The sequence below is a fragment of the Homo sapiens genome, chromosome 12 (assembly GCF_000001405.40).
Source record: "Homo sapiens chromosome 12, GRCh38.p14 Primary Assembly".
NCBI classification, from domain to species: Eukaryota; Metazoa; Chordata; class Mammalia; order Primates; family Hominidae; genus Homo; species Homo sapiens.
This window is the reverse complement of record NC_000012.12, coordinates 83969931-83982200: the sequence shown is the minus strand read 5'-3', so window position 1 is coordinate 83982200 and position 12270 is coordinate 83969931. Positions and strand designations below refer to the sequence as shown.

Sequence of the window (12270 nt, the reverse complement as noted above, 5' to 3'; positions counted from 1 at the left end):
CTACTGTGTTGCCAGTCATATAAAAGTATAATGCATACAAATATGTGCAGTAACATAATACTTGATAACAAATGACTTATGATATTGGTGAATGTATTTATACTGGTACTTACTGCACTATACTTTTATTGCAATTTTAGAGTGTACTCCTTCTACTAATAAAAAAAAGTTAACTATAAATCAGCCTCAGGCAGGATGCTCATGAAATATTTCAGAAGAAGGCATTTTTATTATAGGAGATGACAGCTGCGCGTGTGTTTTTGCCCCTGACGACCTTCCAGTGGGACAAGATGTGAAGGTGGAAGAGAATAATATTGATAATCCTGACCCATTGTAGGCCTAGGCTGATATGTGTGTTTGTGTCTTACTTTTTAACAAAAAAAAGTTTAAAAAGTAAAAAATAAAATAAAACATTTCAAAAATAGTAAAAGGCTTATAGAATAAGGAGATAAAAATATTTTTGTACAGTTGTACAATGTGTTTGTGTTTTAAGCTAAGTATTATTAGAAAAGAGTCAAAAAATTTAAAATCTAAAAGTTTATAAAGTAAAATAGTAATAGTGAGCTAAGATTAATTTATAGAAAAAAAGAAAATTTTATAAATTAATTTCTATGTATCCTAAGTGTACAATGTCTATAAAGTCTACAATACTGTACAGTAATGTCCTAGGCCTTCACATTCACTCACCTCTTAATCACCAAGAGCAAATTTGGGTCCTGCAAGCTCAATTAGTGGCTAATGACCTCTACATGGGTATAATTTCTTTAAATATTTTATACAATACTTCAACAGTACCTTTTCCATGTTTAGATATGTTTACATACACAAATACTGATTATTGTGTTATAATTGCCTATGGTATTCAGTAGAGTAACATGCTGTACAGTTTTGTAGCTTAGAAACACTTAGCTATACTATATAGCCTAAGTGTGTAAAAGGATATACAAATTAGGTTTGTGAAAGTACACTATATGATGTACACACAACAATGAAATTGGCTAAGGCTGCATTTCATAAAATGTATTCCTTTTGTTAAGTGATTCCTGCCTCTCTCTCTCTCTCTCTCTCTCTCTGTGTAGGTATATATGTCTATATTTCTTTGTGGGTATGTGTATACACAGATAAATTTATTATAAAGAATTGGCTCAGAAGTCCCCAGGAAAGCTGGTGGTACAATTCCATTCTGAGTCCAAAGGCATAAGAACCAGGAATACTGATGGTATAAATCTCAGTCCAAGGATAGGAGAAGAATTGAGATTTCAGCTCAAACACTCAGACAGAAGAGTGAATTTGAATTTCCAGCTCAAATACTCAGACAGAAGGGTGAATTTGAATTTCCAGCTCAAACACTCAGAGAGAAGAGTGAATTTGAATTTCCACCTCAAACACTCAGACAGAAGGGTGAATTTGAATTTCCAGCTCAAACACTCAGACAGAAGGGTAAATTTGAATTTCCAGCTCAAACACTCAGACAGAAGGGTGAATTTGAATTTCCAGCTCAAACACTCAGACAGAAGGGTGAATTTGCTTGTCCTTTCCCTTTTTTCTATTCAAGCCCTCAACAAATTGGCTAGTGCCTACTCACACTGGGGAGAGCCATCTGATTTACTAAGTCTACTGAATGAAATGTTAATCTCATCCTCTCATCTGGAAACACCCTCACAGACACATTCACAAATAATATTTAACCAAACATCTGGACACCCAGTTACCTAATCAAGTTGACACACAACATTAATGATTACACCTATTACAAAGCCAAAGACAGACTCAAAATTCTGGATCTGAAGGCTTCTGAGGTTTGGCCCACCCTCAGTCTGAGCCAGCATGCAGACCTCCTGAAAACAGGCTGGTCTTAGGTTAAAATATTCCTTGGCATGCCCTCCAATCATGCCACCCTATCTTTCATCCCCATTCCCTACACCTCGTTCTTTCCAGCATTGTTTACTCATCTCTGTAAAAGAAAACCCCTTTCTGCCTAACTCTTGAGATGCTTGGAAGACCCTTTAGTTAGAACATTCGCCCTATTGTAAATAGTCCCTTTCTCTCCTTGCACTCATCCTTTCAAATAAAAGTTTCTATCAATCTAGATTTGTTGCTCATTTCATGAGCAATTCCTCAAATATTTATTGTAAATATGACTACTAGCAGTATTCCTAATAGTCATAGCTTTTAATGTGCATTCTGAAATCCTTTATCATTCTGACATTATTGTCATGCATTGGTACCTCACTCAAAATATTCCTTTGGTTCTGCAAATAGTGCAAAATAAATACCTATACATTTTTCCTTAATGATCCTTACCCACACACAATGACCCTTTACGTGGGAGGTTTTGAATGCTTCAAAATTTATAAGTTACTAAAAGCATTTGGCACATATTGGCCATCAATTTGCTTTTATGAATTTTTATTCCATATAACCTAGGTAGTTTAAGACTCAGGGTTAGAATCCCTAGCTCTAGGTTTATTAGTCAAACAATTAGTTATTTAAGGGAAAAAAAAGAGAACTATATCTCATCAAAATAACATTTCAATTATCTATGGCCTTTGCCTTTTCCCATTATTTATATCCACATGATAATGTCTTGCTTTATTAGCAAAAAAAATCAAGCCACAGCATTGTATTTAAATGCAATGGCTTAGAAGAATATTTTTAAGCTAAGGAAAAGTTCACAATACATTAAATATATTAAAAGTGTATAAAATAAATTAAATGGAAAGAATGATTACAGTGAGTATATAAATAAATATGTTCAGTGTGATTCCAGTTCTGTGCATATCTGTGTATATAAACATGAATATATATGTAAGAGGAAATTAACAGTGGTTATTTCTATGAAGTAGAATTTTACATCAAGCTTATCCAACCTGTGGCCTGTGGGCTGCGTGAGTCCCAGGATGGCTTTGAATGTGATCCAACACAAATTTGTAAACTTTCTTAAAACATCATGAGATTTCTTTTTCTTTTTAAGCTCATCAGTGTTAGTGTATTTTATGTGTGGCCCAAAACAATTCTTCTTCTTCCAATGTGGTCTAGGGAAGCCAAAAGTTTGGACATCCATGTTTTACATAATATTTATGTGTTCTTTGTACTGTTCCACGTGTCTCTAATTTTCTTTGATTAATATGTCCTTAGTCTTTAAAACTCTAAAAGAAACTTTATTATTCATTTTAAAACTAATCTCTAAAATGTTCTTTTTATAAGAATAATTTATTTCAATCATTTTTAGTCTGTCTCATGTCATTTTAATGCAACTTGTCTCACAGTGACTTAGAAAAATCATCTATAGAATGTTTCCAAACATCATTAATCTTTTGTATAGGAGGTAGGTGGTAAAACTTTAATAAGGGTTAGTTGGAGGGTTAAATGAGGGGAGAAATAATATTGATATAGTTATTAAAAGATTTCTATGGGATTTTGGAAACCGCCTTCTTGACCAAATGGAAAAAATGTATTGGCAGTCTTTGGGATATTCTACTCAGTAATGTGTGTTTATATGTATGTGCATGTATATAATTGGTTAATATTTAATATCATCCAGGCACGGTGGCTCATGCCTGTAATCCCAGAACTTTGGGAGGCTGAGGTGGGCAGATCACTGTAAGTCAGGAGTGTGAGACCAGCCTGGCCAACATGGTGAAACCCCATCCCTACCAAAAACAGAAAAAAACTTAGCTGGGTATGGTGGCACATGCCTGTAATCCCAGCTACTTGGGAGGCTAAGGTAGGAGAATCAATTGAACCTGGGAGGCAGAGGTTGCAGTGAGCTGAAATCGTGTCATTGCACTCCAGCTTGGGTGACAGACAGAGCAAGACCCCAATTCCAAAATTTAATATTATATACTATGCATATATATTTTATATATACATTTATTATATGTAAGACAAAATTATACTTTCTGTGGAGGAAAAATTCATGAAAGAACAGTTGCTAGGCCAGGCGTGGCGACTCACACCTGTAATCCCAGCACGTTGGGAGGCCAAGTCAGGCGGATCATGAGGTGAGGAGATTGAGACAATCTTGACTAACAAGGTGAAACCCTGTCTCTACTAAAAATACAAAAATTATCCGGGCGTGGTGGCATGTGCCTGTAGTCCTAGCTACTTGGGAGGCTGAGGCAGGAGAATTGCTTAAACCTGGGAGGCGGAGGTTGCAGTGAGCCGAGATTACACCACTGCACTCCAGCCTGGGCAACAAAGCAGGACTCCATCAAAAAAAAAAAAAAAAACACCAAGAAGAAGAAGAAAGAAAGAATAGTTGCTATCCCCCTGTACAACCTTTCCTTTCTGGACCCAACAAAGACTCTAACTTATATTTCCACTAGCACACATGGGTGGGCCATCAAGACTTCTATGTACATAAGAGCAGATGTACTTCCTGTAAGAAAAAAAAAACATAAATACATGGAAAAATATAATGTTACTATTTGAGGCAAAATATAAATATATGTTAGGGTTGGGGCAAGACCATCACTGCCCTTTTAGATAATGCATATGGATGAAGGGTGGGGAAACTCACCTGAGATGAGAACAGAAATATAAGGTCTAGTAATGATCTAGTGATTAAAAAGAACACGGAAAAGAACATTTTCTAGTGTATGTCGTGTTAACATTCAAATATTCCCTGAGCAGAAGATGAGAGTAATTGCTTGACATTGGAAGCTGTAAGATAAGAAGAGAGCAGCAGTCTCCCAAGTGAAAGGGTGCCCCAGCCACCTCTGTGAGAACACTCTCAGCAGTGACATGAAGGCTACAGTGGAAGACTGACAGTGACAGGAGGGGCAGAGTCTTGGTGACAAAGAAAAGAGAGATACATGCCAGTGGCAATGTCAAGCATGACCCATGAGGGAGAATTTGTAACAGCTGGCAAAGGCCTGTAGGTAAATGCACGTTGAGGAACTCCAAGAATGGCAGTTCATTTTAATTGCTGTCAAGGCAAAAGATGCCCTTTTTTTTAGTTCCTTATGTGAGGAAAAAAACGTAAATTTGAGATGTGAAATCTCACCAACTCCAAAATTACTACCGAAATTAAATTTCCTACATCTGGGGACTCAAATCAAAGGTTATTAAGGTGATAGGAAGTGGGATGAGGTGACGGGAAGGTGGTCAGGGGAAAGGTTCTAAGGTTCCATCTAAGCCAATTTAAATTCTTAAAATACCTTGTTTTAAATCATTTCTCAGGAAAAATTGTGGCATGCCTTAATTTTCTGTGGCAGTGTAAGATACAATAGAAGAAGTTAATTTCTCTTTTTCTTTGACAGAAGAAGAGCTTTGAATAAGTAAGGATAGGTTCCTTTGCATCCAGTGGAAAGGTAAGAGTGTTTTGTTTTTCTTGTCTTTTCCTTTTTTTTTTTTTTTATTTTACTTTAAATTCTGGGATACATCTGCAGAATGTGCAGGTTTGTTACATAGGTATATATGTGCCATGGTTGTTTGCTGCACCCATCAACCCTTCATCTAGGTTTTAAGCCCCACATGCATTAGGTATTTTTCCTAATTCTCTCCCTTACCTTGCTCCTAACCCTGCAACAGGCAACATTGTGTGATGTTCCCTTCCCTGTGTCCATGTATTCTCATTGTTCAACTTCCACTTATGAGTGAGAACATGTGGTGTTTGGTTTTCTGTTCCTGTGTTAGTTTGCTGAAAATGAGGGCTTCCAGCTTCATCCATGTCCCTGCAAAAGACATGAATTCATTCTTTTTTATGGCTCCATAGTATTCCATGGTGTATATGTGCCACATTTTCTTTAACCGGTCTATCATTGATGGGCATTTGGGTTGGTTCCAAGTCTTTGCTGTTGTAAATAGCGCTGCAATAAGCATATGTGTGCATGTGTTTTTATAGTAGAATTATTTATAATCCTTAGGGTATACACCCAATAATGGGATTGCTGGGTCAAATGGTATTTCTGGTTCTAGATCCTTGAGGAATAGCCACAATGTCTTCCACAATGGTTGAACTAGTTTACACTCCCACAATAGAGAAGTGAATAGTTGGACTGTCCCAAACAGGACTGTCCCAGACTAGCCAATAATTCTGAACCATGAGAAATAGAGAAGCTCTGACCATAGGAAGGGAGAAGGAAGCTTCAGGGTCTTCCTCAAGTGGCAGAGACCAGGACACAATAAATCATAAGCTGACTATTTTTGGATGCTAGTATGGACAAGACAAAGACAGCCACAGATTTAAGAATGTCATTAAGGCCAACAGAAGATCAAGATTTTTGTAGGTCATAAAGCTTATACACATTACAGGGAAAAAACTCTTCAAGAAAAAAAATGTTAAAATTATGAATACCAACTTAGATAGTAAAGTGCATGTTTGTTTAGAATATGAAAAACAAATTTCAAAAAATTATATTTTTTAAACAGCTGACAATCATCACCATAAATATTCAAAAATAAAATGCATTTTATTTATTAGCTCTCCTGTTAGATCTGTAAAATAAATTTTTGGTTTTCGTTTTTGGTTATATATTCTGTGATATATACATATTCTTCCTGTATGAAAATTATTTTGTAATATGATTTGCTATAGTGAGAAGAGAAAGAAAATTGAGTCTTTCTTTAGAGTTATGAATCACAATTTGTTTTTTGTCATTGATAGTTTAGAAAAGTTTGTATCATATTCAAAATTTTTATTGGTAATATGTGTATTTTTAAGGTTAGAGTTGCCCCTTGATATATATGGAGAATTTGTTCCAGGATGCCCATAAACACCCAAATCTGTGGATGCTCAAGTCTCTTATATAAAATTACATTATATTTACATATTACCTATGTATATTCTCCTATATACTTTAACTCTAGATAACTTATAATACCTAATACTATGCAAGTTTTCTGTAATTAGTTGTTATACTGTATGGTTTTATTTGTACTTTTTAAATTATTGCATTTTAATTTTTTAAATATTTTCAATCTGTGGCTAATTGAGTCTGTGGATATGACAGTATTGTCACATGTGGGAAACTGCCATCAAGATGTAATATATTCAGGCATTTCAAGATAATTTGGGCAGTGGCTAATTCAACATAGTTTTTACCTTGATTATATTAATTAACCTATTTACTGTAGATGTATGTGCCATAGTAACTTATAAATTTTAAGAATCTGTGAGGCGGGCGTGGTTGCTCATGCCTGTAATCCCAGAACTTTGGGAGACCAAGGTGGATGGATTACCTGAGGTCAGGAGTTCAAGACCAGCCTGGCCAACATGGTGAAACCCCGTCTCTAATAAAAATACAAAAGTTAGCAGAGCGTGGTAGCAGATGCCTGTAATCCCAGCTACTCTGGAGGCCGAGGCAGGAGAATCGCTTGAACCCAGGAGGCAGAGGTTGCAATGAGCTGAGATCGCATCATTGCACCATTGCACTCTAGCCTAGGCAACAGACTGAGACTCTGTCTCAAAAAAAAAAAAAAAAAAAAAAAAAAAGAATCTGTATATCAATTTTCATGTGAAATCAGAAAGAATTTAAATTTTTACTGTGTTTTGTGATTCACTTTTTAATATTAAATGGATTACTAAACAACCTATTAGTTCATATTTGACTTCAGTTTGAAGTCAGTTACTCAGTTAATTATCACTACCATGTGGTTTAAAATATTTTTGCTAAAAATTACTGCTTGGTATATGTAGTAATTTCCTAAAGCTGCTGTAACAAACTTACCATAAACTTGGTGGCTTTAAACAACAGAAATTTACTCTCTCACAGTTCTAAAGGTCAGTATTCTAAAATTAACGTTTTGGTAAACCTTAATTTCCTCCCTACACTCCCTACAGTGATTTTAGGGAAGAAATTATTTCATGCATCTTCTGCCTTTTGGCAGTTGCAAGCTTCCTGAGCTCATTTCTACATCATTTCAATTTCTGCCTTTGTCCCCATATTGCCTTCTTTGTGTCAGTCTTCTCATTTGTGTGTCTTATAACAGCACTTGTTATTGGATGTAGAGCCAGCTGGATCATCCACAATGATCCCTTTATCTCAACATCCTTAATTATATCTGCAAAGACCCTTTTTATTGTCTTCAGATAAGGTAACAGTATAGGTTTGAAGAACTAGGATGTGAACATAACTTATTGGGTGGCCCCTCTGCAGCCCTCTACATTGTCTACATTATCAGAATAATTTCTACTACTTTTACTGCACATTTCTTATATTTCCCACATTTTATTAATTCTTATCTGCATTTTCTCTTATTTTATTAATAAAAATAAGAACAAAGAATGTGTCCCTCTTTCTCAAGCACCTATTGTCACAATACCATGCATAATAATCTCACTTCAAACTTAATTTGGCTAGAACAACCATCATTTAATGTTTCTCAATAATCTGATTTAGCTGGTTGGTTGTGCTGATCTGGAGTGGGTTCCGCTGATTTCCACTGGGCTCAGTCTACTGAGAAACTCAGATACAGACAGATCTGCCTTCAGTTAGGCTGATCAGATGAATGCTGGCTGGTCTGGAATGACTTCCAATGGGAATGGCATATATCCTCTCTATGTAGTTTCTCACCTTCCAGTAGCCTTCTCGTACCCAGATTTATTCTCTTGGCAATGGCAGAGATGATATAGTTCTAGAAGGACACAAAGCCTCTTGAGGCCTAGAGTCAGAACCTGCACACTGGCATTCTATTGGCCAAAGCACTCACAAGTCTAGTCTAATTTCAAAAGGCTGACTGGCAGACATGCCACGTCACATTGCAAAGGACAGGGAAAGAGAAGAGTATGAAATATTGGAGCCTCCATGCTACCCATCTATTACAACTTTTTTTAAATTTAATGTAATTATTTCTATAGGTAATTGGGGAACAGGTGGTGTTTGGTTACATGAGTAAGTTATTTAGTGGTGATTTGTGAGATTTTGGAGCACCCATTAACCGAGCAGTGCACACTGAACTCAATTTGTAGTCTTTCATTCCTCACCCCCCCTCACCCTTTCTCCCTTGTCCTCAAAGTCCATTGTGTTATTCTTATGCCTTTGCACCTTCATAGCTTAGCTCCCATTTATGAGTGAGAACATACAAAGTTTGGTTTTCCATTTGTGAGTTGCTTCTTAGAATAATAGTTTCCAATCTCATCCAGTTGCTGCAAATGCCATAATTTATTACTTTTTTATGGCTGAGTAGTTTTCCTTCATATATATATATCTTATATATATTTGCAATGGTGAATTGTGCTGTTATAAACATGCATCTGCAAGTATCTTTTACATATAATGATTTATTTTCCCCGGGGTAGATACCCAGTAGTGGGATTGCTGGATCAAATGGTAGATCTACTTTTAGTTTTTTAAGGAATCTCCACACACTTTTACATAGTGGTTGCACTGGTTTATATGCCCACCAGCAATGTAGAAGTGTTCCCTGTTCACTGCATCCATGCCAACATCTATTATTTTTTGATTGTTTGATTATGGCCATTCTTGTAGGAGTAAGGTGGTATTGCATTACGGTTTTGATTTGCATTTCCCTAATCATTATTGATGTTGAGCACTTTTTCGCGTTTGTTGGCCATTTATGTATTTTCTTTTGAGAGTTGTCTATTCATGTCCTTAGCCCACTTTTTGTTGGGATTGTTTGCTTTTTTGCTTACTAATTTGTTTGAGTTCGTTGTAGATTCTGGATAATAGTCCTTTGTCAGATGTATAGGTTGTGAAGATTTCCTCCCACTCTATGGGTGGTCTGTTTACTCTCCTGACTGTTCCTTTTGCCATGCAAAAGCTCTTTAGTTTATACATTCAAACCAGGTATCTGCAAATTCTAACATTATGTATTGGAATTGTCTTAAATGCCATTCTAATTATTGCTAAAATAGGGTATTCAAGCTTTATCAACTTTATTAATACAAATTTTGCATCTCATTAGTGAATGAGTTTCTTTTCTAATTCTGCAAAATGTATTTTAGAGTTTTCATAAGATATTTTACTTATCTTAGGAGGCTCGAACAACTTTATAGTGAACATTTTATTACACTTAAACAATAAAGAAAAACCCAAACTGCATGGGTGACAGAGTTACTAGTCACTCTGTGTTCAAAATATTCAACAAAGAAGCCACATTTCAAAAAAATACATACAATACTGCAAAATACTGAATTAGTTAACAATATGAGGTACTTTGGAGGTAGTCTTTTCTCCAATCAGGAAAAGAATATGAGCTGCACTTAACATAAATTTTGTGACACTTGTATGTCACAATAATACAGGATGAGTCAGCGCGGTGGGTATTAGTAGTATTCCTACATCAGTTATAAATAACTTTATACAGATGTGACAGTGAACCACAAATATAACGCTACTCAATCCAACTTAATCATACACCCCAAATTAGCTATGTTACTTCAAAGACATTGAACACAAGAGAATATATGATTGAAGAAACATTGAGAAGATAGAGATAGGAGTCTATCAACTGCATTTAAAAAAACATTGCAAAAATTTCAAAAACATATGACCAGGTGAAAAATTTGCTAGAGACTATCCCAAGGCCTTTAAGGGATGTATGCAATTATGGGGTACTGAATCTTAAATGGAAAATGCCTCTGATGATATTTTACATGGGTTAGTCTAGTGTCAGAGTGGTTAGCCACTAAAGGGAGTATTTCTAAATCCGCTTAAAGCATAGGACCATCTCAGGACCCCGCCTTCACATAGCTGAATTTAGTAGAAAGATCAATAATAAAAATAATGATCCCCATGTGTAAAGGCCATACCCTCCTGTAGTCTGTCGTATAAACCAAGATACTTTGAAGAGGAAAGAAAAGATCCCCAGTAATAACTGAGTTTGAATTTTTTATTATAGTGGTACAAGAGGGTACAAAACATGTTTTCTGATTTAGAAAAATAACAAAATTCAGTATGTCTTAAACCAAAAATTATAGATCATTCACATCTTCAGTTATTATCAATAGCCAATATTTTATTATCAATTAAATTACATAAATTTTATACACTGTATCTTCTCTTTGGAGATCTGCGATCCAAATAACATAGTAACTATATCTGCTTAACTTTCTCTAATCTATTCTTCCTAAACTTATTTGATGTGAACCACTAACATCTCTCCCAACCAGTATTCTAAATAACGCAGAAATCAGAGTTCTAGGGAGGTCATTCAAAATCAGAATGTTCTGTAGTCTCTGACTCTTTGGTCAAAAAGCATTTCCCTTAAACCACATTCAATATCATTAACATACCAGCAAAATAAATGTTGATGTATTTGGCAGACTTAAATTTTGCATCACAATCTTTGAAATAACTATACTTGTTTTTTAAGCAATATTTATTAAAAGGAGTGAAGAGAAAAAATCTTCAAATTATATTATTATAATATGACTAACAAGAATTCCAAATATTTAAATTTTTTTCTAATAATACGTTAAATCATCTAAAATTATTGCAGTTAAGTGAATCTAGCTAATTAAACCCTTTTTTCCAGTTTGAAAACATAAAATAAAGGTCAACTAAGTAACCTACATTTCATTATGAATGTGAAAGGAAAATAAATCTTGAGGCCCCAAAATCACTAAGCTAAAGGGAAAAATCAAGCTGGGAACTGCTTAGGGAAAACCTGTCTCCCATTCTATTCAAAGTCTTCTCTCTGCTCACTGAGATAAATGCATATCTGATTGCCTCCTTTAAAAAGGCTAATCAGAAACTCAAAAAAATGCAATCTTCTTTTATCTACCTGTGACCTAGAAGCCCCCTCCCTGCTTTGAGTTGTCCTGCCTTTCCTGATATAACCAATGTACACATTACACATATTGATTGATGTCTCATGTCTCCCTAAAATATAAAAAACCCAGCTGTGCCCCAGCCACCTTGGGCACATATCCCCAGGACCTCCTGAGGCTGTGTCAAGGGCATGTGTCCTTAACTTTGGCAAAATAAACTTTCTAAATTAACTGAAACCTGTCTCAGATATTCGGGGTTCACATGAGGAATAATGTGACATCAATTTTTTTTGCAAGATCGATTTATTGTTTTTTCTTCTTTATTAAATATATCTCTAATAATTCCATGTATTTAAATACTAAAGAATAAAGATTCTTTAGTAATTATTACTTTAGCAATTATTATTCTTTAGTAATTATTCTACTTTTTAAGTTGGCACAGTGATTATTTTCTGACTTTAATTTATTTTGTACAGCTTTTTAGATATAACTTACATATTCTAAAAGGTATCCATGGCAAGTACATAAGTCAACAATTTTTATAGTTTTTTATATTTTTATAGTTTATATTTCTATAGTTTATAGGGTTATGT

General features: G+C 35.1%; 1 long non-coding RNA gene across 2 annotated transcripts in view; it reads left to right on the top strand.

Moving 5' to 3' along the window:
• The window catches only part of LOC107984536 (uncharacterized), a 297729-nt gene that overhangs the window by 204376 nt on the left and 81083 nt on the right, over window positions 1-12270 (top strand). The window contains exon 3 of one of the 2 annotated variants that reach the window (XR_001749234.2): window positions 5265-5315. The exons of the other annotated variant lie outside the window; for it this stretch is intronic. This is a non-coding gene — a long non-coding RNA (uncharacterized LOC107984536). The remainder of the gene's footprint in view (window positions 1-5264; window positions 5316-12270) is intronic. 2 annotated transcript variants of the gene reach the window in all.